The 27972-nt window shown below is 49.5% G+C and overlaps 1 protein-coding gene across 1 annotated transcript, besides 5 other annotated features; it reads left to right on the forward strand.

The window, feature by feature from the left end:
- GAL3ST2 (galactose-3-O-sulfotransferase 2) lies at positions 507–27972 on the forward strand. The gene is made up of 4 exons (NM_022134.3): positions 507–669; positions 22750–22839; positions 25466–25721; positions 27030–27972. Exons 1-4 carry the CDS (start codon positions 641–643, stop codon positions 27849–27851), a joined length of 1197 nt encoding a protein of 398 aa, NP_071417.2. The 5' UTR covers positions 507–640; the 3' UTR covers positions 27852–27972.
- Positions 561–1181: an enhancer, noted in NCBI's record as "H3K27ac-H3K4me1 hESC enhancer chr2:242716291-242716911 (GRCh37/hg19 assembly coordinates)". NCBI's record gives its function as "activates a minimal SCP1, AML or CMV promoter by ChIP-STARR-seq in primed H9 embryonic stem cells {active_cell/tissue: H9 hESC(primed)}" and the evidence as "EXISTENCE:reporter gene assay evidence [ECO:0000049][PMID:30033119]".
- Positions 1182–1802: an enhancer, noted in NCBI's record as "H3K27ac-H3K4me1 hESC enhancer chr2:242716912-242717532 (GRCh37/hg19 assembly coordinates)". NCBI's record gives its function as "activates a minimal SCP1, AML or CMV promoter by ChIP-STARR-seq in naive and primed H9 embryonic stem cells {active_cell/tissue: H9 hESC(naive and primed)}" and the evidence as "EXISTENCE:reporter gene assay evidence [ECO:0000049][PMID:30033119]".
- Positions 1803–2422: an enhancer, noted in NCBI's record as "H3K27ac-H3K4me1 hESC enhancer chr2:242717533-242718152 (GRCh37/hg19 assembly coordinates)". NCBI's record gives its function as "activates a minimal SCP1, AML or CMV promoter by ChIP-STARR-seq in primed H9 embryonic stem cells {active_cell/tissue: H9 hESC(primed)}" and the evidence as "EXISTENCE:reporter gene assay evidence [ECO:0000049][PMID:30033119]".
- Positions 11422–12621: an enhancer, noted in NCBI's record as "CDK7 strongly-dependent group 2 enhancer chr2:242727152-242728351 (GRCh37/hg19 assembly coordinates)". NCBI's record gives its function as "activates an origin of replication core promoter dependent on BRD2, BRD4, P300/CBP, MED14 and CDK7 cofactors, with strong dependence on CDK7, by STARR-seq in HCT116 cells {active_cell/tissue: HCT116}" and the evidence as "EXISTENCE:reporter gene assay evidence [ECO:0000049][PMID:35650434]".
- Positions 27639–27972: part of a meiotic recombination region, noted in NCBI's record as "meiotic double-strand break mapped by DNA meiotic recombinase 1 chromatin immunoprecipitation followed by single-stranded DNA enrichment and sequencing in the germ cells of some male individuals with the PRDM9 A/A, PRDM9 A/B and PRDM9 A/C genotypes", that runs on past the window's edge. NCBI's record gives the evidence for it as "EXISTENCE:chromatin immunoprecipitation-seq evidence [ECO:0000229][PMID:25395542]".

Here is a 27972-nt window from a genome sequence, read left to right on the forward strand (position 1 = left end):
ATGTCCTGTTTCAAACTTATTGTCCAGCCCAAGATTTTAAAAAGTCAGATTTTCTTTTGGTGTGAAGCAGGCTCAGGAGGAGGAGGAGGGGGAGGAAGAAGAGGAGGACGAGGAGGGGGAGGAAGCTGGGAATTGGGCTGAGCTTTCCTCGCTCATCCTTGCAGTGGCCACAGGGCCCTCTGCCCTCTCGTCTGCGTCAGGTCCTGAGTTCTGAGTCCAGAAGCCGTCGCTGTGCTGTTGGAGCCCACCAAGCCCGTCCCTTGTGGGGACAGCTCCCTCCAAGCCCCCCGGGGGGATGGACACTGAGGGTGGGGCAGGGGAGCAGGGGTAGGCCCCAGGCAGGTCCTCCCAGGGCCTGGGGAACACAGGGGCCCATCGAGGGCTCCCCAGACTCCCTCAGCCAGTTCTTCCCGAGAACAGAACAGTTAAAACCAAGCCCTCCGATGGAGGTGCGGGGAGAGGGCGTGGCTCCCGTCCCAGGAGGCAGGTGAGCTTCTGGGGATTCCAGTTCACCTGCCCCACAGCCGCACCCTGCCTGTGCCTGCACCCTGGGGAGCCCAGAGCCGGCAGGGGCCGAGGCGGTGGGACCTCGGGGGAGCTCAAGCCTCGACTGTCCCCTCGCTGGAGGCCAGAGGCCAAGATGATGTCCATGCTGGGCGGCTTGCAGAGGTAAGGGGGGCAGTTGGACCCCCCAGGTGGACAAAGCGCTTCATCTGTGGCTATTCTGAGAGACGGACAGGAGTGGGTTTTGTTTGTCTTTCGAAGGAAGTGACTTGGATTTGGAGGCTGTTCCTACTCAGGCTTCCCTGAATTCACCTGTCTTGGCTTCGTTTCGGAAGTAGGGGGCCCCTCCTGCCCAGGCCTGGTGCTGCTTCTGGGTGTTTGGGGGTTCTGGGATGTGGGGCCCAGTGAGAAAGCTGCCCCCCAACACTGTGGCGTGGAGACGCTCGAGTGTCCGCGTGACGGCTGGGGAGGGTGAGACCTGCTGGGCTTGGGACCTCCCAGCCTCGGTCTGCGGCTCAGGCCCATGGCTGGGCCGTGTTGGTGGGAGTGCCAGGCGCTTGCTGGAGCGTTGGTCATGCGTGCGCTTCAGGATGCTCCCGGGGCTCTGGGTGGTGACGGGGAGGCTGGGCTCTGCTGTGCTGTCTCCCTTCTGTAAACAGAGGGGAGGTGGATTTCTTCCCAGTTAGGTTTGGAGGGGTGGTGGGTGTGGCTAAGGATGCCTTGCGTTTTCCTTCTCCTGCTCGCCATCCTGTTTGGGGTGATTCCAGGGCAGTTTGAAGCCGTCCCTGCGCTGGCAGGTCCCTGCCTCCCCGGGGCGTGTGCCGCCATGAATTCAGTTACCTTCCTTTAAGGGGTGACTTAAGACCAGCTGCCAGGACACTGGCTGAGGACACCCCGTCACAGGGCTGAGAGGTGTGGGGCCGGCTGCCTGGCCTGGACCATCCTAGATGCCCCCTCCTGTGGACATTGTGACCATATTGTGAAGAAGAGGCCCAGGGGCTGGGGAATCAGGCTCACTTGATTAGCTGGTGGCCAAGCTAGGGCCCCCCTGGCTGCCCTGGGGCCCCCCGAGGTCGGCCAGGGCGGGTGTGCCTGACCCCAGCTGAGACTCTGTGGGTGAGACATGGGAGGCATTGCAGCCGAAGGCCCTCGGGGAGCCCAGGGCACAGGCTCCTCAGCTGCTGGTCTCACTGCCTGGCAGGATGGGCTCACTGCAGCAGCCCATGCAGGCTGCACGTCCCACACTAAGGCCAGGGAGCTTTGGCTCCGGGTGTCCCAGGCTTCATTGAGCACGGCCTGCAGGAGGGAAGCCCCGAGTCACTTCCCCACAGCCCTGGACAGCAGCCTTCCTGAGCCTCGCATTTATTTTCCTGGGGTTGGGCAAGTGTGGGAGGCTCACCTCGCTTGTGTCAGCTTGCTTGGCCTGTGGGTGGAACAAATCAACAGCCCTGGGGACAAAGGGGACGGTAGTGTGTGGTGCCACTGGCACCCACCTGGGTGATTCAAGGAGCTGCCCAGAACAGAGGAGAGACTTTGCCTGCGCTAGTGAGGCCTAGTCTTGACCACCGGCCACGGGAAATCCAGGCCGCCGGGCAAAGTGCTCACTTGGATGCTTGCTGATCTTTTGTTTTGCTGGTGATGATTCAGGCACAAAACTCTGAGCTATGGCACTTGGGGGTGTTGCCTCCCTGGGGTGTGGCCAGGTATCTTTGGGGAGGAGGGGACTCATGATCAGAGAAGATGTGGTACAGAGCCCATGGGGGTCACCATGCCGGTGTGAACCCCCAAAATCTGAGACAGGTCTCGGTTAATTTAGAAAGCTTACTTTGCCAAGGGTGAGGACGTGCACCCATGACCCAGCCTCAGGAGGTCCTGATGACGTGTGCCCAAGGTGGTCAGGGCACAGTCTGGCTTTATACATTGTAGGGAGACATGAGACATCAGTCCGCATATGCAGGACGAACATTGGTTCGGTCTGGAGAGGCAGGACGGCTCGAAGCAAAGGCAGGAAGACTCCAAGTGGGGAGGGGACTTCCAGGTCACAGGCAGGTAAGAGACAAATGGTTGCATTCTTTTGAGTTTCTGATGAGCCTCTCCAAAGGAGGCAGTCAGATACGCATTTATCTCAGTGAGCAGAGGGGAGACTTTGAATACAATGGGGGGCAGGTTTGCCCTGAGCAGTTCCCAGCTAGACTCCTCCCTTTAGCTTGTAGTGATCTGGGGGCTCAAGATCTTTTCCTTTCACATTTCCCCCCATTTTCTCTTTAAAATCTTGGAGAAAGCTCTCCAAGATTTTAGAAGAAAATGAGTCTCTGGTCCCAGGTTTTGTCTTATCTCTCATGGCTAGGATAGTTTATTTCTAGACGGGCAGGTCCTGAGTTACTAGGAAAGCTCATTTTTTTTTTTTTTTTTTTTTTTTTTTTTTTTTTTTTGAGACGGAGTCTCGCTCTCTCTCCCAGTCTGGAGTGCAGTGGAGCGATCTCGGCTCACTGCAAGCTCCGCCTCCCGGGTTCACGCCATTCTCCCGCCTCAGCCTCCCGAGTAGCTGGGACTACAGGCGCCCGCCACCTCGCCCAGCTAATTTTTTGTATTTTTAGTAGAGATGGGGTTTCACCGTGTTAGCCAGGATGGTCTCCATCTCCTGACCTCGTGATCCGCCGGCCTTGGCCTCCCAAAGTGCTGGGATTACAGGCGTGAGCCACCGTGCCCGGCCCTGGGAAGTTCATTTTTTAGCAGGTTGTGAAGTGTCAAGTCCTAGGAAGACAAAATAGGAGAAGGAAGGAGAAAAACAACAACAAAGAAAAGAGCAATCCTGGAAAATCGATACAGGCCACACTACTCTGAAGTCCAAACATCAGTAGGCAAACATGAAAGTGGCTTATGTGGCCGGGCGCGGTGGCTCACACCTGTAATCCCAGCACTTTGGGAGGCCGAGGCGGGCGGATCACCTGAGATCAGGAGTTTGAGAACAGCCTGACCAACATGGAGAAACCCCGTCTCTACTAAAAAATACAAAATTAGCCGGGCATGGTGGTGCATGCCTGTAATCCCAGTTACTCAGGAGGCTGAGGCAGGAGAATTGCTTGAACCTGGGAAGCGGAGGTTGCGGTGAGCCGAGATCGTGCCATTGCACTCCAGCCTGGGCAACAAGAGCACAATCCCGTCTCAAAAAAAAAAAAAGTGGCTTATGTATGTAAATAGATTGCTGTTATTTTCTTCTGAAGTTTAAGTTGTCTAGCTTATTCCAAATTAGGAAAAATGGGAAAAAAAGAAAAAAATGCAAACATTATTTTGAAGACTTGTAGCCAAGAAAAATTAGAATTCAGTCCAAACTGCAGAAAATAGTAAAAATTGAAAAACATTAGGCAAGACTAGAATCTAACAACAGGTGTACTATAGTTTTTGAAAGATAATTTTTTGGTTGGGTGTGGTGGCTCACATCTGTAATCCCAGCACTTTGGGAGGCCGAGGTGGATGGATCATGAGGTCAGGAGTTTGAGACCAGCCTGGCCAACATGGTGAAACCCCATCTCTACTAAAAATACAAAAATTAGCTGGGCATGATGGTGGACGCTTGTAATTCCAGCTACTCAGAAGGCTGAGGCAGGAGAACTGCTTGAACCTGGGAGGTGGAGGATGCAGTGAGCTGAGATTGCACCACTGGACTCCAGCCTGGGTGACAGAGCGAGACTGTCTCAAAAAAACAAAATGACAACAAAAAAGAAACATAATCTTTTCTCTCTCCAGTTTCCCATTTTTACTAAAGACAAGTCATGGTAGGACTGGTTTGCTTTATTATGCTTGGCCTAATTATTTGTATACAGTGCAGCAAGAATAATTACTTTTTACATAGGCTTTTAAATTGGCTTTGATGGAACATTGATCCATAGGAGGAATCTCAGATAAGACTTTTTTAAAGCTGAGCCCAGCCACGAATTTGTGCCATTAAATATCTGTGAGTTGGGTGATCCTCTCCTCTTGAGGATCCAAGATAAACTTGGGGCTCCTGGACATGTCAGAAAGTGATATTCTTTACTTGCCACAGGTCAGGAACCCTGTTCGGGGACTCTGTAGACAAAAGTATGAGGCCAGTTTTTCCAAGGGGCATTTATTGGGTCCGTAAGTCAAGTTTGATTCCTTAAAGGAAAGCTCACCGTTCCAGTCAGTCTTGGTAAAATAACCAGTTTCTCCAATTGTGTCATGTTACAAATGAAAACAGATTCTTATTGCACTTATGCAAATAACTGTATTGTCATAAATTAAGAATGCTCACAGATAGTTTCCAAATTCTGGATAAATCAGGTAGAGAGAAACAAATATGCTTGAAATTTTGTTCACAGGAGTATACTTTACTCAATTCTTAAAAGCTGTAATAACTTAAAAGTTTTCTTAACTCTAAAAAACAAAACAAAGGATCAGCAATGTTTTACGAAAAACGTTAAAAAGATTACTTTAGTCTTCTGTCAGTTCAGTTTACACAGTTAACTCCTGTTCTGCTTGATATTCATGAACATTTCAGCTCTCCATGAGAGTCCTGAAAATTTTTTCCTCTATTCTGATGACACAGTCTCCAACGTTATCAGAACCCTGTATTTAAGAACACCTGTTAGAGTTCTATAGCTGATTATAAAACCACCGTAAAGAGGACCAAAACAAGACAACAATTGCCTGTGGATGATAAAAAGTTTTAGGACAGCCATAGTCAAAGACACAATTGACAAGGAAATTTGTTACCTTTGTGGCACAGTATAATTTAACATAAGAATTATAAATATTATTGATAACATACATTAAATTATATCAGAATTATAGGAGTTTCCCATAATTTTGGTACACATACCAATAACATATTTATACAAATACAGCCTAAAGAAAACCAAATACCATTTCATACTTGACAATGCTTCCTGTATAACTTTTATACCAAATAAGCCAAACTATGTCGTTTTTGGACTTTAGCAAACCTAATGTCTTAAAGGATTAATTAGGTCAGAAAAAGACGTAATTTATAATTTGATTTTGGAAAGTTTGTCAAGTATCAAAGGTTTAAAACACTTTATATCACAAAACAGGATCATTCATTTAACCAAGGTGGTAACTCAAGGATTTCAAAAAAGGCAAAAGCCTTCATTCTTTGAGAGAGGTGACTTAGTGTTCCAAACAATAAGCCCTAATAAAAACAGCATGAAGCCAATTTAATTTGCTTTTCAAAATTTTATAAATGATCTATAACATTTTAATCTTGATCATAAGATACAACTTCCATAAGCCTTTGTAACTTTTATTTAGGAGTTGGTTGATGCTTCAAGAAAACCTTGTTAATCTGGCACAGGCCCATATGCTGGTCTTGCATCAGTGTGTCTTTGACGTTAATGATTAATTTATAGAGAAACAACTTATTTTATCTCTCAAAATCAGCCCTTATAATCTCACAAGCCTACCTCTTCTGTGATTGTCCCTGGGCCTTGTGGAGTTAGATAGCTTTATTTATTTTATTTTATTTTATTTTTATTTATTTATTTTTGAGATGGAGTCTCGCTCTGTTGCCCAGTCTGGAGTGCAGTGGTGCAATTTCAGCTCACTGCAACCTCCACCTCCTGGGTTCAAGCTATTCTCCTGCATCAGCCTCCGGAGTAGCTGGGATTACAGGCACTCACCACCATGCCTGGCTAATTTTTGTATTTTTAGTAGAGATGGAGTTTCACCATGTTGGCCAGGCTGGTCTTGAACTTCTGACCTCAGGTGATCCATGTGTCTTGGCCTCCCAAAGTGCTGGGATTACAGGTGTGTACCACCATGCCTGTCCCCGAGGGGTTGAATAGCTTTAATTTCTGACTCTGTGTTTCAATAATGCAGTTTATTTTGATTGGCATCTTCTACTGGGGCTTTAATTGCTGTCAGTGTTTAAAATATAGCAGGACTTGGTGTCCTTTTTACACCCAGGAGTCAATGTCCTGTAATTCAGTGTCACAAGTACTTTAAAAGTGCATACAGAGAGATACGTGGATGGAATAACCTTAATTTAAAAATGTTTAAGGCTGGGTATGGTGGCTCACACCTGTAATCCCAGCATTTTGGGAGGCTGAGGTGGGTGGATCACCTGAGTTCAGGAGTTCAAGGCCAGCTTGGTCAACATGGTGAAACCCTGTCTCTACTAAAAATGTAACAAATTAGCTTCGTATGGTGGTGGGTGCCTGTAATCCTAGCTACTTCGAGGCTGAGGCAGAAGAATCGCTTGAACCCGGGAGGCAGAGGTTGCAGTGAGCCGAGATTGTGCCACTGCACTCCAGCCTGGGCAACAAAAGTGAAACTCCATCTCCAAAAAAAAAAACCCACACAAAAAAAGTTTAATCTCAATTTTTTTTCCTAAGGAAACCAAAACTTAATAATAATATGACAACTTGATCATATAAAAGTTTTTGTGTTTGTTTTTTTAAATATAATTCCTCTTATTGTGACTTACATAAACCATTCATTACATGTTTGGATTTTCTCGTTTGTCCTGAACTTCCCTGCATCTTAAACAACCAGTCATTTTACTCTAGGACTAAATTTACCATACAAGATTCTTTCTAATATGAAATTATTTCCCTTTAAGCTTTCTTACCAAAAAATCCTCTGTATTGTTATAACTTTCTATCTTGTTTCGTACATAAACTTTAAGCTTTGAATTAGACAAAAATTATTCACCTTTTTAAAAGGATACCATTTTTTTTAGCAAGAATGTTTTCCTTCAATATATTTTTATTGGAAAATATCCAAATATGAAATATCTATTATCTAATTTAATATAACTTTAGATTCTAAATTATGACGTTTGTCTGCAAGTATTTATTCTAATACATTTACCTAATTATTTTATTTTAATCATTTACTTATTTATGAAAACTGTGATATTCATCATTTAACGTTATGAAACTGCTCTTGCAAAATTATAACTGAGACAGTAAAAAACATCTGCCCTAACTGACTCCTTGTTGCTTCTAACCTCCAGGCCATCCTTGTTCATTCCTGGTTGGAGGCTGAACTAACTTTGGGAGGAACGAACTTAGTTTATAGTTTAGTTTTGAAACAAAAATGATAAGAGCCCTTTCCCAAAACAAACCTCCTTACTGCCTGTGGACTAGACTGTCTAAAGCCACAGGATTAGAATTTATGGTAATCTTACTAAATTCAAGCTGTAGCTATGGATCATTAAACAAATATTAATGTCTTCTTTTTTTTTTTTTTTTGAGATGGAGTCTTGCTCTCTTGCCCAGGCTGGAGTGCAGTGGTGCAATCGCAGCTCACTGCAACCTCCGTCTCCCGGGTTCATGCCATTCTCCAGCCTCAGCCTCCCGAGTAGCTGGGACTACAGGTGCTCACCACCACGCCCGGTTAATTTTTTGTATTTTTATTAGAAACGGCATTTCACCGTGTTAGCCAGGATGGTCTCGATCTCCTAACCTCGTGATCCACCTGCCTCGGCCTCCCAAAGTGCTGGGATTACAGGCGTGAGCCACCATGCCCGGCCTAAAGTCTTCTTTATTAAAGATTACACAAATAAAGACCATTCTGTTTTGGGCTGCCTTTATAGTTTTGCAACCCCTATGCCAAATTTTGACACCTTATATTATTTGGCAGAGATAAGTAGGAAATTGCTTGATTAACAAATGCAAACAAAAATGGATGCTGGCAAATTCTTAAGACATTTCTAGTATTATTTTACCAATGATTTAAAATCCAGCGTATTAAAGATTTGACTTAAGTGGTGTGAACTTGAAGGGCATTTGACTAGTCTTTTTTCTTTAGTATCTAAGTACTTTTATTTTTTAAGCCAATTAATTGAGCTCCTTTATATATTTTTACTAGTGAAACATTGTGTACACAACACATAAATACATAGACATATTAGGCACACTGATAGAAGTACATCTTACTGATTTATAAAGACTTTTTCTTTCTTTATCTCAGACTTTCAGATTCTTAATAACCTGTTTCAGAACCCTAGGCAGTTGTTAGCTAGTCTTAAATTTGCATATTAAAGGAAACAACTCTGGTGAAAATCAAATAGCAAAATTTACAACATATGATATGGAGAGAACAAGTCTGGTGTGCTAGAGGGAGGTTAAAGATGGATGCCAAATCAAACATAAAATTATAAAAATCTACCATTGGATTATATAAGGAGACCAATTTTATTTAGACAGGGACTACCTATATTGTAACTGGACCTGAGCTCTGGGCAGAGCCCACACTGAATCCTGGGTTTCCAAAAAGGGAGAATTATTATGAGGCTGGATCATGTGATGCTTTTACAGTGCACTTAATTTTTTTTTAAACAAAGACGTTTCTAAGTGTCTAAACTACACTCTTCTGTAAAAACCCAAGAGTAGCCTGTTTCAAATAACTATTTTAGTCAATAAATCAGGTAACACAATACAAAAGCAAGCAGTTTAAAAGCTAAGACAGCCCACGTGTGGTGGCTCACGCCTGTAATCCCTGCATTTTGGGAGGCCGAGGTGGGTGGATCACCTGAGGTTAGGAGTTCGAGACCAGCCTGGCCAACATGATGAAACCTTGTCTCTACTAAAACTACAAAAAATTAGCCAGGCGTGGTGGTGGGCACCTGTAATCCCAGCTACTCAGGAGGCAGAAGCAGGAGACTCGCTTGAACCTGGGAGGCAGAGGTTTATTGAGCTGAGATTGCACCACTGCACTCCAGCCTGGGCAACAAAGATGAAACTCCGTCTCAAAAAAAAAAAAAAAAAAAGCTGAGACGAACTTGTCTGTTTACACATTTGGGGTTCCATGGGAACCCAAAGGGAGTCTGGCACCTTCTTGGTTTTCTTTAAGGAACCCCAGTCTCTTATAAACTATTTTAGGTCTCTCGTGCAGCAGAGGGTGCAAGATAAAGGAGAGACAGCAGAAGTAAATAAAGAAAAACAGACCTCAGTCAACTGAGAAAAAACAAAAAACTTTTGCTCAAAAAAAGGACAAGGTCCTAGGAGAGACAAAAAACCCAAAAACATGAAGAACATGAAGAAGGCCTTTTAAATACACACACACACACACACACATCCCTTGGATGTTAGCTTTTAATTAAGCTGACTTTAACAGTTGAGCTCCTTTAAAAAAATGTTTTTAAATCTCATTACCATATTTCACCTGCGACAAATTGCTGCTGTTTCAGAAATACAGACATTGCTCTTTCAATTTGGTCTGGCTAGCAAAAAGGTGGTCTTGTTATGTAAATAAAGTCCCTTTAGTAGTCAAAATAAAAAATATTTCCTCTTTTTTTTTCTTTTGGCTGGCATCTTTCTCCCCCACCACACACCTTTTGTGTGTGTGTGTGTGTGTGTGTGTGTGTGTTGGGGGGGATCTTAACCATCTGAGAGGTCTTGTTCCCAATAATTTGGAACTTTTCTTCAGATTTGATAAAGTTGGATAGAGTTGGTCAAACCCAATGGGAAAAAGACTGAAAAAACAACAAAAACAGAGACAAACAACAACAACAACAAACAGTTCAGTAAAACAAGCAATCACACAACTATATGATTCCTGAGTGCTCTAATGGTAAGGAGAAATTAAGACCAGCTGGTTGATAACTTTAGCCAAGACAGAACCCCAATTCGGCTACTTAACCTAGGGATGGGTCTCAGGCTGATACTCTCTACCATCTTAGAAGCAGGAAAAAAAGAAAACCTCATCTTCCCTGTTGGAAACAATCTCAAACTCCATAAAGGAGTTACCTGCCTTCCATCGTCATGGAAGCAGGAGAACTGGCCCTCCTTGTTGGAAGCAAGTAAAACTCCAAAAAAATAGGGAGTTGTACAGCAAAATAAACTTTAGATCTTGACCAAATTTTGGGAGATCAGGGATTTTTTGGAGGGGGTGCTCCCAGACCTCAGCAAATTGTCCTATTGGTTTGAGCCATAAAGTTAGCTCATGTCAGTACCAAGCTCCGATAGGAGGTTTGCCAAAGGTCAGGGACATCTCCACCCAGAATCCCTCCATGGTTACCGAAATGCAAACCCTGAAAATTTGAGATAGGTCTACAAAAGGAAAATATCTTGGGCCCCTGAAATCACTAAGCTAAAGCAAAATGTCAAACTGGGAACTGCTTAGGGCCAACCTGCCTCCCGTTCTCTTCAAAGTCTCCCCTCTGCTCACTGAGACAAATGCATATCTGATTGCATCCTTTGAAGAGGCTCATCAGAAACTCAGAGAGGGTAATCAGAAACTCAAAAGAATGCAACTGTTTGTCTCTTATCTACCTATGACCTGGAAGCCCTTCCCTGCTTCAAGTTGTCCCATTTTGCTTCTAGTTGTCACACCTTCCCAGACCAAACCAATGTTCATCTTGCATATGTTGATTGATGTCTCATGTCGCCCTACAATGTATACATAAAAAAAAGCTAAGCTGTGCTCTGACTACCTTGGACACATGTGGTCAGGACTTCCTGAGGCTGGCAAACAAATGCGCATCGTCAACCTTGGCGCAATAAGCTTTCTAAATTAACTGAGACGTGTCTCAAATTTTTAGGTTCACATTTTGGTAACCACAGAGGGATTCTGACCTTTGACAAATCTATTGGTGCTTGGTATTGGCATGAGCTAACTTTATGGCTCAAATCAATAGGATAATTTGCTGATGTCCGGGAGCACCCCCTCCAGAGACTCCCTAATCTCCCCAAATTGGTCAAGATATAAAGTTTATTTTGCTGTACAACTTCTCCTCCTTTTTTTTTTTTTTTTTGGAGTTTTACTTGCTTCCAACAAGGAGGGCCAGTTCTACTGCTTCCATGACGATGGAAGGCAGGTAACTCCTTTATGGAGTTTGAGCTCACTTCCAACAGAGAAGATGAGTTTCTTTTCCTGCTCTAGGATGGTAGAGAGCTGTTTTCAACCTGAGACCCTTCCCTAGGTAAGTAACTGAACTGGGGTTCTGTCTTGGCTAACGTGACAACCAGCTGGTCTTAATTTCTCCTTTCCGTCAGAGTGCTCAGTGATATATTGTTGGGGATTTTGTTGTCGTTGTTTGTTCTTGTCTTTCTCTAATTGGATTTGACCAACTCAGCCTGACTTGGTCAAATCCGAGTGAGAATTCCAAATTGTGGGTAACAAGGCCTCTCTAATTTGGCTAAAATTCCTTGCAGCTGCAAAGGGGGAAGAACGATCAAACATAAAACCACGTGTTTGCTTTCTGTCTTAAAAAAGCAATTGTCCCTTCATTTACTTTTCTTCCACCCCATACCTCCTTCCCCCTTTGCCATCTCCAGTACCAAGGACTCTAGAGAAGGCTTCTAATGACTTGAACCCCTTTAAATAATTCAGAACAAGGGCACCACTCACCGCTTTTGGGGTGTTCTGTCTTCATTGTGGAGTTTCAAGAGTCATGGGCAGGTTCTTCTTAGGTCTAAAGCTCTGTTTTCCTGTATTGCATTACCTGACCTCTTTGGCTTTGGGGGGTACCATAGATGACCTTGCACTGTGAGAGGATTTGACCTCGGCGTGTATAATGGCAGATGAGAGCTACAAAGTTATGGGTGGCTGAATACAGTTTACAGGAAGTGGTCTTGGCTGTATTTTTTTTTTCTTTTCTCTCCTAGGAGGTTGTTGTTTAAGGATCCTAATTCTAGTTTGAAGATGCATTCTAAAGGGTCTTCTTTATTGCTTTTCTCCCAACATTAATCTCAGTTTGGTTTGTCTGTGTGCATTTGTGCGAGGAACTGAACTGAACTGTTGTTTTCATAGGTAAATGAGAGACTGAGTTTTTCAGCTCCAAAGAGAAAAGGTATCTGCTTCTCCCAGCCAAAGGTGCCCCTGGGTGACCAGGGGGCCTCGTGGGAGTGTCTAGGGGGTTGACCCCTGCTGTGACATGCAGCAGCCCTTCAGGGAAATCCCCTCAAAAGTTAATTTAAAAATAGTTCATCCAGGAAACGCATGTAAAGGCTGATCACCCAGCGTTTTGAGCCCTCTCTGAGGTCATAGACCTCTGGAGAGAGAAACTGAGACTCATAAGAGGGCAGAAGTGACTCAGTGGTGACACACTGTGGAGTCCTGCCCACAAGCAGCACACATCAATCCACTACACAAAAACCTAGGCCACAGCTCAGTTCCTCCTTTTAAGAAAAAAAAAAGTGGGAAACAAATAATCCAAGAATGAGGAGAAAACACAGAGAATGATCCCCTTTTGAGCACTCTGTAGGGTTTAAGGCACATCTACTTGCCAGAGTAAAATGGAAGTAAGACAGTCTTTGTGCACATTTACATTAAGGAAAAAAGAGCCCTAACGTCGACCCCAAACCAATAGAGTTCTTACGTCCCCTTTTCCCCATTTTCTTTTCTGCCTGCTTTAAATCTGCTGTTACCTTTCTAGTGAGATAAAAACCACTGTTTCGATCTAGCAGGTCTTTTTTTGCAAGCCAGTGAACTTATATTTATCTCATGGCTAAAGTACTGAAGTAAAAGCTATAGAATCTTTGTGTGTGTGTATGTGTGATGTATATGTCTGTGTGTGTGTATAGTTGAAGGCCCTTATAATAGACTTATATAATTTTATGTTCAATTGGCAATTAAATCTGCTTTAGTTTCCCTCTAGCTCACCAGACTTTCTCTTCGTACCTTACTATGTAAATTTTGCTATTTGATTTTCACCTGAGTTATTTCCTTTAATATGCAAATTTAAGACTATTTAGCTGACAATTGCCTTAGGGTTGTGAAACAGATTATCAAGAATTTGAAAGTCTAAGATAGGGAAAAAAATATGGTCTTTATGGATCTATAACATGTACTTCTGGCTGGGTGTGGTGGCTCACGCCTATAATCCCAGCACTTTGGGAAGCCAAGGAGGGTGGATCACATGAGGTTAGGAGTTCAAGACCAGCCTGGCCAATGTGGTGAAGCCCCGTCCCGGGGCATGGTGGTGGGCGCCTGTAATCTCAGCTACCTGGGAGGCTGAGGCAGGAGAATTGTTGGAACCCGGGAGGCAGAGGTTTCAGTGTGCCGAGATTGTGCCACTGTACTCCAGCCTGGGCTGATAACAGTGAGACTCCATCTCAAAAAAAAAAGAAAGAAAAAATGTACTTCTATCAGCATGCCTAATATGTCTATGTATTTAGATTTCATAGGTAAATGAGAGACTGAGTTATAACATATGTTATGGAAAACTCCTATAATTCTGATATAACTTAGTATGCTTTATCAATAACAATTATAATTGTTATGTTAAGTTATTGTATGCCACAGAGGAAACAAATTTCCTTGTCAATTGTGTCTTTGACTATGGTTGCCCTAAAACTTTTTGTCATCCACGGACATTTGTTGTCTTGTTTTGGTCCTCCTTAGAAAGTGGTTTTGTAATCAGCTATAGAACTCTAACAGGTGTTCTTACATATAGGATTCTGATAACTTTGGGGATTGTGGCATTAGAATAGAGAAAGAAACTTTCCAGACTCTCATGGAGAGCAGAAATGTTCATGAATATCAAGCAGAACAGGAGTTAACTGTGTAAACTGAACTGATAGAAGACTAAAGAATCTTTTTGACCTTTGCTTTAAATGTTGCTGATTCTTTCTTTTGTATTTTTCAGAGCTGAGAAAACTTTTCTTTTGAGCTATTGACAGCTTTTTACAATTCAGTATACTCCTATGAACAAAATTTGGGGTATATTTGTTTCTCTTAAGGACTAAGCTCTGATTTTGTATCTTGCCCAAATTCCTATCTAAGAGGTCTGGGGAGTCGTGTCCTACAAACCATAAATTCTCATCAGATGGCTTTTATTTGACCCTGTATATCATGATTTACTTTCCAATCTGAGTCTGGCATAACAAGGAAGAAAATAACAATGTTTTACCCCAAAATATATTTCCTTGTCATACCTTGAAATTGCCCTACAACGTCTCTTGTGGGAAAAATCCACATTCTATAGAGAATCACCTTTCTCCTTTGTTTTCCTTTCTTCTCAGATCCAGGAGATAATCAATTAAGAGCCAGGCACCCTTTTAGGTCTGATGAGAAACATTTTACAACCTGCTCTCTCTTTGAAGTCTGCTATCTGAGAGCTCCCTCTCTGCACAATAAAACTTGGTCTCCACAATCCTTTACCTTAACCTGAGCATTCCTTACTATTGATCCCAGGTCTTCAGATAAACTCAACCAATTGTCATCCAGAAAATGTTTAAATTTCCCTGTAGTCTGGAAGCCCCTGCTTTGATTTGTCCCACCTTTCTCAATCAAAACAATGTATTTCTTAAATGTATTTGATTGATGTCTCATGTCTCCCTAAAAATGTTTTAAACCAAGCTGTACCCCTACCAACTTGGGCACATGTTCTGAGGACCTCCTGAGGGCTGTGTCATGGGCCATGGTCACTCATTTTGGCTCAGAATAGATCTCTGCAATTATTTTACAATTTGACTCTTTTTGTCGACACTCTCTACCTGGTTTCCCCAGAATTTGGAAACTATTTGTGAGTATTTTTAATTTATGGGAGTACAGTTATTTGTATAAGTGCAATAAGAATTTGTTTTCATTTTGCAGCAGGACACAATTGGAGAAACTGGTTACTCCAATGTACTAAGGCTTTGACTGGAATGGTGAGCTTTCATTTAAGGAATCAAACTTGACTTATGGAGCCAATGAAAGCCCCTTGGAAAAACTGGCCTCATACCTTTGTCTACAGAGTCCCTGTACAGGGTTCCTGACCTGTGGCAAGAAAAGAATATCACTTTCTGACAGGTCCAGGAGCCCCAGGTTTATCCTGGAACCTCAAGCGATGAGGATGACTCAACTCATAGGTATTTGATGGCACAAATTCGTGGCTGGGCTCGGCTTTAAAAAAGTCTTATCTGAGATTCCTCCTATGGAGCAATGTTCCATCAAAGCCAATTTAAAAGCCTATGTAAAAAGTAATTATTCTTGCTGCACTGTATACAAATAATTAGGCCAAGTATAATAAAGCAAACCAGTCTTACCATGATTTGTCTTTAGTGAAAATGGGAAACTGGAGAGAGAAAAATTATGTTTCAATACTATGGTACACCTATTTTTAGATTCCAGTCTTGCCTAATGTTTTCAAGTTTTATTATTTTCTACAGTTTGGACCAAATTCTGATTTTCCTTGGCTACAAGTCTTCAAAATAATGTTTGCAATTTTTTTCATTTGTTTGCCCCACCCCCCATTTTTCTGTTTTCTTTTCTTTTCTTTCTTTCTTTTTTTTTTTTTTCTGAGATGGAGTTTTGCTCTTGTCGCCCAGGCTGGAGTGCAGTGGCATGATCTCGGCTCACTGCAACCTCTGCCTCCTGGGTTCAAGCAATTCTCCTCCCTCAGCCTCCCTAGTAGCTGGGATTACAGGCACCTGCTACCCTGCCCAGCTAATTTTTGTATTGTTATTATTATTATTATTTAGTAAAGATGGGGTTTCACTATGTTGGTCAGGCTGGTCTCAAACTCCTGAACTCAGGTGATCCACCTGCCTCAGCCTCCCAAAGTGCTGGGATTACAGACATGAACCACTGCACCCACCCGCCCCCCTTATTTTTCCTAATTTGGAGTCACTAAAATCTAAGCTGTGCTTTCTTAAAGCCCTGCAAACTGAAGCCAGACAACTTAAACTTCAGAAGAAAATAACAGCAACCTATTTTCATACATAAGCCACTTTCATGGCCTACCAATGTATGGACTTTAAAGTTATGTGGCCTATATCGATTTTTGCAGGATTATTCTTTGGTTTGTTGTTGTTTTCTTTCTTCCTCCCCCTATTTTCTCTTCTAGGACATGAGACTTCACAACCTGCTAAAAATGAGCTTTCCTAATAACTTAGGACCTGCCCATCTAGGAATAAACCATCCTAGCCATGAGAGATCAGATGAAACCTGGGACCAGAGACTCATTTTCTTCTAAAATCTTGGAGAGCTTTCTCCAAGATTTTAAAGAGAAAACGGGGGGAAATGTGAAAGGAAAAGATCTTGAGCCCCCAGATCACTATAAGCTAAAGGGAGGAGTCTAGCTGGGAACTGCTCAGGGCAAACCTGCCCCCCATTGTATTCAAAGTCTCCCCTCTGCTCACTGAGATAAATGTGTATCTGACTGCCTCCTTTGGAGAGGCTCATCAGAAACTCAAAAGAATGCAACCATTTGTCTCTTACCTGCCTGTGACCTGGAAGTCCCCTCCCCACTTGGAGTCTTCCTGCCTTTGCTTCGAGCCATCCTGCCTCTCCAGACCGAACCAATGTTCGTCCTGCATATGCGGACTGATGTCTCATGTCTCCCTACAATGTATAAAGCCAGACTGTGCCCTGACCACCTTGGGCACACGTCATCAGGACCTCCTGAGGCTGGGTCATGGGTGCGCGTCCTCACCCTTGGCAAAGTAAGCTTTCTAAATTAACTGAAACCTATGAACCTCCCAAATCTGAGACAGGTCTCAGTTAATTTAGAAAGTTTATTTTGCCATAAAGTTCATCCATGTCCAGCGAGCTGGTCAGAAGGAACCGCAGGGGGATGTGTGTGTCCGTGTGTGTGTATGTGTATGTATCTGTATGTATGTGTGTGTATTGTGTGTGTATGTATGTATTGTGTATGCATGTGTGTGTATATGTATGTATACATGTACGTGTGTATATTGTGTACGTGTATGTATGTACTGTGTATGCGTGTGTATGTGTATGCATGTGTATTATATGTACATATTGTGTATGTGTGTGTATATGTATGTGTGTATTGTGTTTATATGTATGTGTGTATATGTATGTATGTGTATATGTGTGCGTATATGTGTATGTATGTATATGTGTATATGTGTGTGTATTGTGTGTGTACATATTGTGTTTGTGTGTACATATTGTGTATGCATATGTGTGTGTATGCACATATTGTGTATGTGTGTGTATATGTGTATGTACGTATTGTGTATGCATGTGTGTATGTGTGTATATGTATGTGTGTGTGTATTGTGTATGTGTAGTGTGTATTATTTGTGTGTGTGTGTATTGTGTGTGTATGTTTGTGTGTGTGTTTAATCCTGGAGTGTAAAAAACCATCGCCATAAGAATTTGCATGAGTCTTCCTCATAGTCAACAAGGTTTCTAAAACCAGAAGTTCCCTGAGCTGGAGATGGGATGTCTTAAGTCGGTTTTGTTGTTGTTGTTTGTTTATTTTTTGAGACAGAGACTGGCTCTGTGACCCGGGCTAGAGTGTGGTGGTGAGATCAAGGCTCACTGCAGCCTCGACCTCCCTGGCTCAGGTGATCCTCCTGCATCAGCCTCTTAAGTAGCTGGGACCACAGTCCGGAGCCATCACACCTGGCTAATTTTTGTATTTTTCGTAGAGATGGGGGTCTCACTATACCACCTAGGCTGGTCTTGAACTCCTTGACTCAATTGATCTTCTCACCTCAGCCTCCCGAAGTGCTGGGATCACAGGTGTGAGCCACCACACCTGGCCAAGACTTTTATTACCCCTCATTTTAGATATTTTGTGGGTTCTTACTGAGAAGTTGCAGAATTCTCCCCGAATGCCCTGGGAACTGCTGTCCTGCAGGCGCTCACAGCTCACCGGGTTGTGCTTGCAGGGCCGAGGCCTGGTGCCTCAAGCTGTCCCCTCTGTCCCCACTGGAACTGGGCCAGTGCCTCCCAGGCCTCTCTTCTCTTTCTTTTGGGGAGCCTCAGCGACTTGCTGGGGCCATTTGTCTGGGGCTGGTGCACTGTGGCCCCTGATGGCCCTGCCTGATCAGGAACCATCAGCCCCACCAACCTGCCCAGAGCTGGAAAGCCAGACCTTCTGGGCGCTCCCAGTGAGGCAGCAGGTCAGTGGCCTCCAAGTCCCGAGGCTCCAACAGCAGGAAGTTTGAGGCTCTTTGGGAACGACTGAGCTACTCTGGCAACCCCCAGAGCAAAGGCAGCAGGGCCTGGCCGCAGTCCCCACGGTTGTGAGTCCCATAAGGCAGCTTTAGCTTGAGGGGAGGGTCTTTGGGGACTTCAGGGAGCTCCTAAAAGCTAAGGGCACTTGAAAGCAATGTCAAATGGTTTATAATTTTTGGCAATATTTCATTTTCCCTCCACAATCGTCAGCTTTCAAGGTTTTTAGCAGCTGAACTCTTGAACATTTTTAATTGATTTTTTATTTTTTTAACAGCCTTATTGAGATGCAATTCACACACTAAAGAATTTACCCAATTAGAGTGCACAATTCGCTGGTTTCTAGTAAATTCCCAGTAGTGCAGCCACAGGCTCTCCTTAAAGAATGTGTAACAATGTGTAACTCCTGCGTGTAAGGACAGAAACACCATCTCTCTGCTTGGTGGAACACATCACCCATTTACTGCCCCACGGTGCTCTGGGTCGGTCACGGGCACCTGTGGCTGGGCTCACCTCCTGGGTCCCCAGGTCACCCCCTTCCCGGTTGCTCCAACACTGACCACCCTACCTGACCCCTGCAGGTGTGGGACCAGCAGGTCTTTTGGCAAAAGGGAAGAGCCCGCCTTGAGAAGGCTGTAGCATTTCTCTGGAAACGTCATTGTTTTAATTGGGCAGTTGCAAAGAACAGAGACAGATTCATGCTGCCGCAAGGCCAAGGGGGGTATTGTAAGTGTGAAAGCAGCATCTCAAACAGATGGCCAGTGCGTCCCATAAAAGTGCAGAGGGGCTATAAAAGTGCAGAGTGAGGGGCCATAAAGGTGCAGGGTGTTTGAGGAAGGAGTTGACTATGGCGGAACGAAGTGATGGCCAAGGGTGGTGGCTGAGAAACCCTGCTGGTGAAGTCCTGCGTGGGCCTTATCAGTGAGTTAATCTCTAACTGTGCGGAGCCGTAAAACTGCCCTTCCCACCTCGTGCAGCCACTCTCCCGGGGAGGGTCTTGGGAAGTCCGCAGAAGTGGCCCAATGGCAGAGCAGGAGCTCCGCTCTCAGTGTGGGGCCTCGTTTGGGTTTGGGAAAACATGTCCTCTCTCACGAAGACGTGGGTGTCTCCAGCGGGACCCTGATCCCGCGTGGGGCGCATGGCCCTCTCTGCTCTGCGGCCCCTCTCGCTCTCCTCTCTGTGCCTGGGAATTCTAGTGTTTACTGGGCCTTGGCCGCTGGGAGCCTCTTCAAGGTGGTTCCATTTTGACGTAAGGACTGGAGGGGTGCATTGAAGAATTGTAGAGTGCAGGTGAAGGGAGGGCCTGGAAGCTCCTGTCCCGTCTCCTAGAAGCGTGGCTGTGGTGGCACTGGCATTGGAGTCTGAGGTGCCGCGTGTGCCGTGAGGATGAAGTGTGAGAAATTTTGGGAGGTCCTAGTTCTACCATCCCCAGTGTCTTCGAGACCCACACCCTTGGTGTGGAAGAAAGGAGACAAGATGTCATACGAAGAGGTTCTGTTGAAAGACGCAGTCTTGGAGCTGGGGGTTCCGGTGTGGACTCATGAGGGGTTCCGTCTCTGTATGTGTAGCTCTGAGCTCTGACTACGGAGAAGGCCCAGACATATGACCTTCTCAGGGCAGTGAGCACCCCAGCACCCCGAGTGTGGTCCCTAAAGACCACTTCCTACCAGCGGGACCCAGAGCTCCTTGGAGACATGGTTGACTCCAGACCTGGGCCAGGAGACGTACAAAGCAGGCTCGGAGCACCCTGGTCAGCAGGGAAGCCATCGAGGACCAGGGCAGGAGCCCTCCCTGGGCCGGCCACGGAGCTGATGGTCGTCACGTATCAGGGCTCTGCTCAGTCATGGGAACTGAGTCGTCACCCCATTTCTGTGGTGAGCGGCTTCTGCAGAAGACAGATTTGTTTCATCTGAAGTTATTTATTCTGCTGTCATAGGTGAAGCCTGCTACACCCATGTCCCCACATCCCACTGTTCTCTCCCTGATGGCCGGGGGGAGCAGGGCCGGCTCTGGTCTTGTCTGAAAGGGAGGCACAGAGCAGGGCCATCGGCTGGGGTCGGGGGAGACAGAGTGGTCCTGACCAGTAGCTGAGCGCCCGGGGTAGATGGTTACTGGGTGGTTCCCGTGGGGGGCTGGGCTGTTGGCAGCCCTGAGCTGGCCCCACGTGGGGTCAGCTAGTGGCTGGGTGGGGCAGGCACTTTGACCAGAGCCAGCTCACTGCTGTGGCCACAGCCCCAGGGGTGCCTTGAGGTCCCATGCAGGGTGAGGGGACTGCGGGGGGCTTGAGGCCCTGAGGGCTGCCCCGTTTGCTGTTAGCATGCACCTGGCCGCCCTGGCGCAGCCATCCTTGAAACACTCTGACAGCAATGTTTTAAGAATGTAGAGATGGGGTCTCACTGTATTGCCCAGGCTGGCCTCAAACTCCTAGGCTCAAGCAATTCTCCCACTTCCGCCTCCCAAAATGTTAGGGTCACAGGCGTGAGCTGCCGCGCCTGGCCTGAAACATTACGTGTTTGCCAGATTTGTCTTTCTTTTCTTCATACCCTCTTGGTTTTGTGTCTTGCTTAGACGGCAGCCTCATTCTCCTTTATCCTCTGACTTCAGTGGTTTTATTTTTTTACATTAAATCTTTGACCCCATGTGGAACTGATTCTGATCCATGGAGCAGATCTGGGAGAGCCGATGTTCGTTATCGTGACTGTTTAGAATTTTTCTGGCCATCACTATATGTTTTTTGTCCATTTGAACTTTAGAAGTGACTTCTTAGTTAAAAATTCTCTTCTTCGGGATTATGCTAAAATTCAAGATTGTTTTATGCAAAAATCATCTCCTTTCTCCAAAAGGAGAGGAGTGCCGGGCCAGCGTGTGGGAGTGAGGACCTGCTGCTCAGGAACTCTTCCTGGGCAGGGGCCAGTGGGGCCGGGCAGAGCCAGCCCAGCCCTCCCCGCTGCTCCCATGGCAGAGCCAGCCCAGCCCTCCCCGCTGCTCCCATGGCAGCGCAGGAATGGTCGTGTGACCACTGAGCAGCGGGGCTGATCCTAACCCAGTTCCACGTCCCGGGAGGGTGAAGAGTGACGTTGCACTGGGCCTGGGTCCTGCCTCCCTGCTGTTCTAGCACCCCCAGCCCCCTGGCCCGCTTTGCCTTGGTTACAATTCCTCCTTCCCCACTGGCTTGTTGTGCTCCTATGTACCCTGTAAAGCCCCATGCAAAGGCCCCAGTCCAAGCAGGAAGCTCACCCCTTGTGTCCTCTCCAGATGCTGAGCTTGCCGAGTGCAGGTGTGGTGTCTGGTTCCCTCGTAGCCTGTGCCTGACCTGCACTGAGACGCTACGGCCCACGTGGCAACCCCCCATCACTGAGGGGACACAGCCCACGTGGTAGCCCCACCCCATCACTGAGGGGCCCCTTGGCTGCTCTGTACTGATGGGGGGCTTTGCCCAGAGGATGGGGGACCCTGGCTCCCCGCCCGACTCCACGGTCAGGCCTTACCCAGATCTGCTCTTCCCTGATCTGGCTGCACCTGCTATGCTAGGCTCCTGGGACCCAGGCCAGGCCTCCTCAGGCCTCCTCATGTGGGCCCCGCCTCTCTGTTTGGAGACATCATGCTTCCTCCAGGCTCAGTCACCCCGGGCTGTCACAACAGACACCACAGACAGGCTGGCCCCAGCAGCAGACATGTGCTTCTCACCGTTCTGGAGGCCGGAAGGCATGCGATCTCGAGCCAGCATGGCGGGTTCCTGGGGAGGGCCCTCCTCCTGGCCTGCAGATGCCACTTTCTCTCTGTGCCCCTATATGGGGAGCGAGGGTGGGGAGTGGAAGCTGCACTCTGGTCTCTTCCTTGTCTTAGAAGGACACGAATCCCATTACAGGGACTCCACCCGCCCTCAAACCTCATCCAACCCTAACACCTCCCAGAGGCCCCACCTCCAGGCACCATCACGCTGTGTGTTAGGGGTTTGGCCTGTGGATTTTGGGGGCGCACAGTCCATTGCACCAAACTCTCAGCCTCTCCAGATCCCCTGGGGGCCTGGGGGTCTCCGTCCCATACAGTCTCCCAGGGGGCCCTGCGTGGGTAGAGGTCCCCTGACCTGTTCCCACCTCTGGTCCCAGGAGCGCGGCCCTGTCAGCTCCCGAACCCCAGGGAAAGGGATGGCTCATCCACTAGGCTCTTTCCGGCCCTAAGCCATTCAGGGGTGGTCGGGATGGGGTCAGATTCAGGCCTGTCCTGGGTTGAGACTCCCTAGCCCATGGGCCGGCACCCAGTGGGTTTGAGGACAAGACGTTACAGAGGTGAGGGGAGGCCCAGACCTGTGTGGCCCAAGGCCTGGACTTGGCTGCAGGATGGGAGGTGGGGGTGGGGCTGGCACGACCCGGACTGGGCACTCATGGCCTGCCCTTTCCACAGATACTTCCGGGTCATCCTCCTCCTCCTCCTGGCCCTGACTCTGCTCCTGCTGGCCGGATTCCTGCACTCGGACTTAGAGCTGGACACACCGTAAGTCCTGCCCCCACCATAAGTCCTGCCCCGGGTACCTCCTAACAGCCCCGAGGACAGAGCCTGGGACCCCAGCATGATCACGCCCCCCACTGGGCCTGTCTCCCTCTGGAAGAGGAGGGGTGGATGGGCCCTTCCTTGGGGGGACCCTGAGAGTCTCCTGTTAGCCACAAACCCACCTGGGCCTTTGGGGAGGGCTCTGGGGAGCAGGGGCCGGGTCTGGGTTTGGGGACAGACCCAGTGTGTGCAGAGGGTCCCTGTGTGTGGGAGGCAGGGCTGGAGGCCTCCTTCTTGCTCCCCACAACAGAGGTGGCCTGTGGGCCTGGGCTGGATCTGGGAAGGAAAAGGTCAGAACCGTGCTCAGGACAGACCTTGCAGCCATGGGCCCACCTGGGACCCTCTCCCCTGCCTGCCTGTGGCACATCCTCTGTGGAGCCCCTGCTGCATGGAGGTGCCCACCTGTGCTCACCTCGCAGCCCAGCTGTGCCTCCAGACAGGGCTTTAGCCAGGCTGCTGGAAGGGTCTTCCAGGCCCCGCCACTCCCCAGCCCCTCTGGTTGGAGGAGACAGAGGAAGCACCAATCCCTCTGGGCCGAGCTGCCAGAGACAGGTGCCAAGGACCCTGTCTTTGCTCACCCCCATCACCCAGGCTGGCCAGGCCTGGGTACCCTGACCCCACCATCCTGGTCACTTCTGCTGGCCCTGTTCTGGGGCAGGGAGGGCGCCTGCTACTCCAGCCCCACTGGGTGGGTGTCATGATGGGATTCTAGGAGTGGGCCCAGCCCTACATCTGGCCGCTGGTCTCGGCTTTGGGGTCCTTCCTTTTCCTGGTGTGAAGGGACAAGAAGCACTGCACGTGTGGCTGAGGTCACAAAGCCAGCTGCATGTGCGTGCCTGGGCACCAGGGAGAAGGCTGGGGTGATGTGTGGGCCAGAGTGTGTAGCCCCCGAGGGAAACAGGGATGGGTCTGAGGACACTGTCTCCGTGGGGCCCTGAGGCTGGGGCTGAGGGTCTCTAGGTTGGGGTGCAGTGATGGGTCTGGTGGGGGTTCCAGGGTTGGGGGTGTCAACTGAAGAATCATGACATCTATGAATGTGGAGAGGACACTTTGTTTCTTAAAAAGTGTGGACATCCCACAGGCTGGGAGCACAGCCGCCGACCCAGGCTGGGAGCACAGCCGCCGACCCAGGCTGGGAGCGGGCACTTCGAGGGAGGGGGTGGGACAGGGGCTTACGCTGAACGGCTTGGCCAAGTACACGTTCAGCAGGTGACGGGAGGAGCTGTGGATATTCATGAAGGGGGTCCTGACGCACGTGTCCTGAACAAACAGGTGTGTTACTTACTTGTGACCCACGTTCACCTTGGGGTGGAGACTGCACATCTAACTGCGTTACAATCAGGCCCTGCACGTCAGAAGGTGGAGCCGGGACGGGAAGCACTCGGTGCGCAGCCTCTGTAAACCGCCAGAACCAGTCCGGGGCTGGGGGTCCCTGCTCAGGGGACAGTTACTGAAATGCGGCTCTTGTCCGATGGCAGCTGTGGTTCTGGCTGGGGGAGCAGGGGTCAGCGAGGCAGCGTCTGGCAGCGGGTGAGCTGCACCTGCTTTAACGTTGTTCGTCTCAAGGCCAGCGTTTGGGTGTCAGAGAAAAAGAAAACTCCCGTGGCAGGTAGAACATAAATAAGTGCAGCGTGTGTGACTTCGCCCCTGCCCGGCATGGCCTCAGGTCCCGTTGATAATGTAGCGTCTTATGGCCACAGTCAGTTCTGCTGGGCCATGGTCTCCTTTTATTTTTTAATTTTTAAAAAATTTACTTTAAGTTCTGGGACACACGTGCAGAACGTGCAGGTTTGTTACACAGGTATACACGTGCCACGGTAGTTTACTGCACCTATTAGCCCGTCATCTAGGTTTCAAGCCCCGCATGCATTAGGTATTTGTCCTAATGCTTTCCTTCCCCTTACACCCCATCCCCGACAGGCCCTGGGATGCGCTGTTCCCCTCTCTGTGTCCACGTGTTCTCATTGTTCAAGTCCCACTTATGAGTGAGAACATGCGGTGTTTGGTTTTCTGTTCCTTTGTTAGTCTGCTGAGGATGATGGTTTCCAGCTTCATCCATGTCCCTGCAAAGGACATGAACTCATTCTTTTTTATGGCTGCACAGTATTCCGTGGTGTAGATGTGCCACATTTTCTTTACGGTCTCTATGTAACATTCACACCCGGCAGCTGCTGGGTCTAAACCGCAAAGGGGAGGGGGTGTGACGAGGCGTCTACCTCCCATCCCATCACTGCTGGGAACTCAGTTTTAAGGTGGGTCTGGGGTCCCCTTGGCCAAGATGGGGTTCATTTAGGGTTTTATTTTTAGTTCTCGGGGGCACAGGGTTGGGGGAGCATGGTTACGGGAGACAGTTGGGGGAGTTTGTGTTCGGGCCACCAGCTGGGAGGTTGTGGAGTGGGGCAAGGATTGGGGCCATGGGTCGGTGCCTACCCAGTTGGCCCCCTGGCCTAGAGTTGGGGGGCTCAGGTTGGGAGGTCTCTCCTTGCGGTTGCCGGGCTGGGGGTCGCTGTTGGGCGGGGGTTGGGGCATCTGCACCCTTGCTGAAGGCTGCGTGTGCCTTCCCTCCCAGCCTGTTTGGGGGCCAGGCTGAGGGGCCGCCGGTCACCAACATCATGTTCCTGAAGACGCACAAGACGGCCAGCAGCACGGTGCTCAACATCCTCTACCGCTTCGCCGAGACCCACAACCTGTCCGTGGCGCTGCCCGCCGGCTCACGCGTCCACCTGGGCTACCCCTGGCTCTTCCTGGCGCGCTACGTGGAAGGCGTGGGGTCGCAGCAGCGCTTCAACATCATGTGCAACCACCTGAGGTTCAACCTGCCTCAGGTACCGCGGGCCTGCTGGGGAGGAGGGCGGGCTGCAGCCGTGCCTGTGGCTGTGGGTCTGGGTGGTGTAGCCTGGAGGCTGGAGAGAAGGAGTGTAAGGCTTGGGGGCGGGGCGTGCAGAAGGCGGGTTGGGAGGGCCTGGGCCGCACGCCCTGCTGAGCCAACCCCTGCCCCTCCAGGCGGCCAGTCGCCTGCCGTTGCTCTTGGAATGAGACCTGGGAGCCCCACAGCCCCTGCCCAAGGGCGTCCCCAGCGCTCCCCCGCTTCTCTGGCCTCCTAGTTGTGCACAGGCCCGGCTCTCCCCACCCTGTGACCTTCGCTTCTGTGGCTGCAGGCCCTTCTTTGGGTCCCTTGGGTCTCAGCATAGAGCCGGCTTCCCCCCAGGGCTTCCCTGACCTTCCTTACAAAGGAAGCAGGGCAGGGAGTGTGGGTGGGAGGGCTGTGGGCAGGCACAGGTGTTTTAGGGTCACCCTGAGCGCTCTGTGGAGAATGGCCAGCAGAGGCTAGGTGACCAGGCGGGGCCAGAGGGAGGCCGGGTGGGGAGAGGTGATGGGCAGAGAGCGGGGCAGCGGGGGTGTGCTGTGGGGTGGGGGCTGCGGGGCAGAGGGAGGAGGAGGGGCCGGGAGGAGGGGAAAGGAAGAGGGTGGGGGCAGGGAGGAGGCCTCCCACTGTTCTCTCCCTGGGTTTCTGAGGATGGAGAAGCAGGCGGTGTAGTTGGGCGTGACTTTCTGCAAGACTTTACTTTCTGTGGGTGGGGTATATCCTCCAGGACCTCTGAGGGGGCACAAGCGAGGGTGAGTCCAGACCCACCCTGTGGGGAACCTGGGTCACGGACCTTCTCTGGGCCTCAGTTTCTTTGTCTGTTAGGTGGGTGTCACCCTGGCCTGTGGGCAGCTGGTGGAGTGCTGAAGCCCCCTGTGCCAGGGGCCCGTGGAGGGCCCTTCGTGCTGTCTGTGCGCCACAGCATCCCACTCCTAGAGGCCTCTGGGTCTCCTCGAGATGCCAGTGGGAGCTCCTCCTCCCTCCTCCTGCTCTGCCCACGGACTCCTCCTCCTGAGGCCCCTTCCTGGCGTCCTTGGCCTCTGTTCTGGGCACCCGGGAACCAGTGACTGGGCTGCAGGGCCTGCGTGTGGCCCTGGCTCTGCTCCCGGAGCTGCCGCACGAGAAGGCGCCAGGCCCAGGTTCCTCGGCAGATGTGAGGATGGGGGTGCTCCTTGAGCGGGTGTGGCCAGGGCGCGCCTCCTCCCCGCGGGTGGGCCACCCTGGCCTGGGCCCGCGGTCCGCAGCCCGCCTCTCTGTCGCCACACAGGTGCAGAAAGTCATGCCCAACGACACCTTCTACTTCTCCATCCTGAGGAACCCCGTGTTCCAGCTGGAGTCCTCCTTCATCTACTACAAAACCTACGCCCCCGCCTTCCGGGGCGCCCCGAGCCTGGACGCGTTCCTGGCCTCGCCGCGGACGTTCTACAACGACAGCCGCCACCTCAGGAACGTCTACGCCAAGAACAACATGTGGTTCGACTTCGGCTTCGACCCCAACGCGCAGTGCGAGGAGGGCTACGTGCGCGCGCGCATCGCCGAGGTGGAGCGGCGCTTCCGGCTGGTGCTCATCGCCGAGCACCTGGACGAGTCCCTGGTGCTGCTGCGGCGCCGGCTGCGCTGGGCGCTGGACGACGTGGTGGCCTTCAGGCTCAACTCCCGCAGCGCGCGCTCCGTGGCCCGCCTGTCGCCCGAGACCCGGGAGCGCGCGCGGAGCTGGTGCGCGCTGGACTGGCGCCTGTACGAGCATTTCAACCGCACCCTCTGGGCGCAGCTGCGCGCCGAGCTGGGGCCGCGGCGGCTGCGCGGGGAGGTGGAGCGGCTGCGCGCCCGGAGGCGCGAACTCGCGAGCCTGTGCCTGCAGGACGGCGGCGCGCTCAAGAACCACACGCAGATCAGAGACCCGCGCCTGCGCCCCTACCAGTCCGGCAAGGCCGACATCCTGGGTTACAACCTCCGGCCGGGCCTGGACAACCAGACGCTGGGCGTGTGCCAGAGGCTTGTGATGCCTGAGCTCCAGTACATGGCCCGCCTGTACGCCCTGCAGTTCCCGGAGAAGCCCCTCAAGAACATCCCGTTCCTGGGGGCGTAGAGGGGCCGGGCCGGGGACGAGGCCTCCTGCGGACACCAGCTCCTCTCTCCGCCGTCACCGGGGAGGCCGGGGATCCTTGCAGGGCTTCTGGGGCGTTGGGAAACCCAGGCCCGCCGGCCAC

Source organism: Homo sapiens, chromosome 2 (assembly GCF_000001405.40).
Source record: "Homo sapiens chromosome 2, GRCh38.p14 Primary Assembly".
Taxonomy (NCBI): domain Eukaryota; kingdom Metazoa; phylum Chordata; class Mammalia; order Primates; family Hominidae; genus Homo; species Homo sapiens.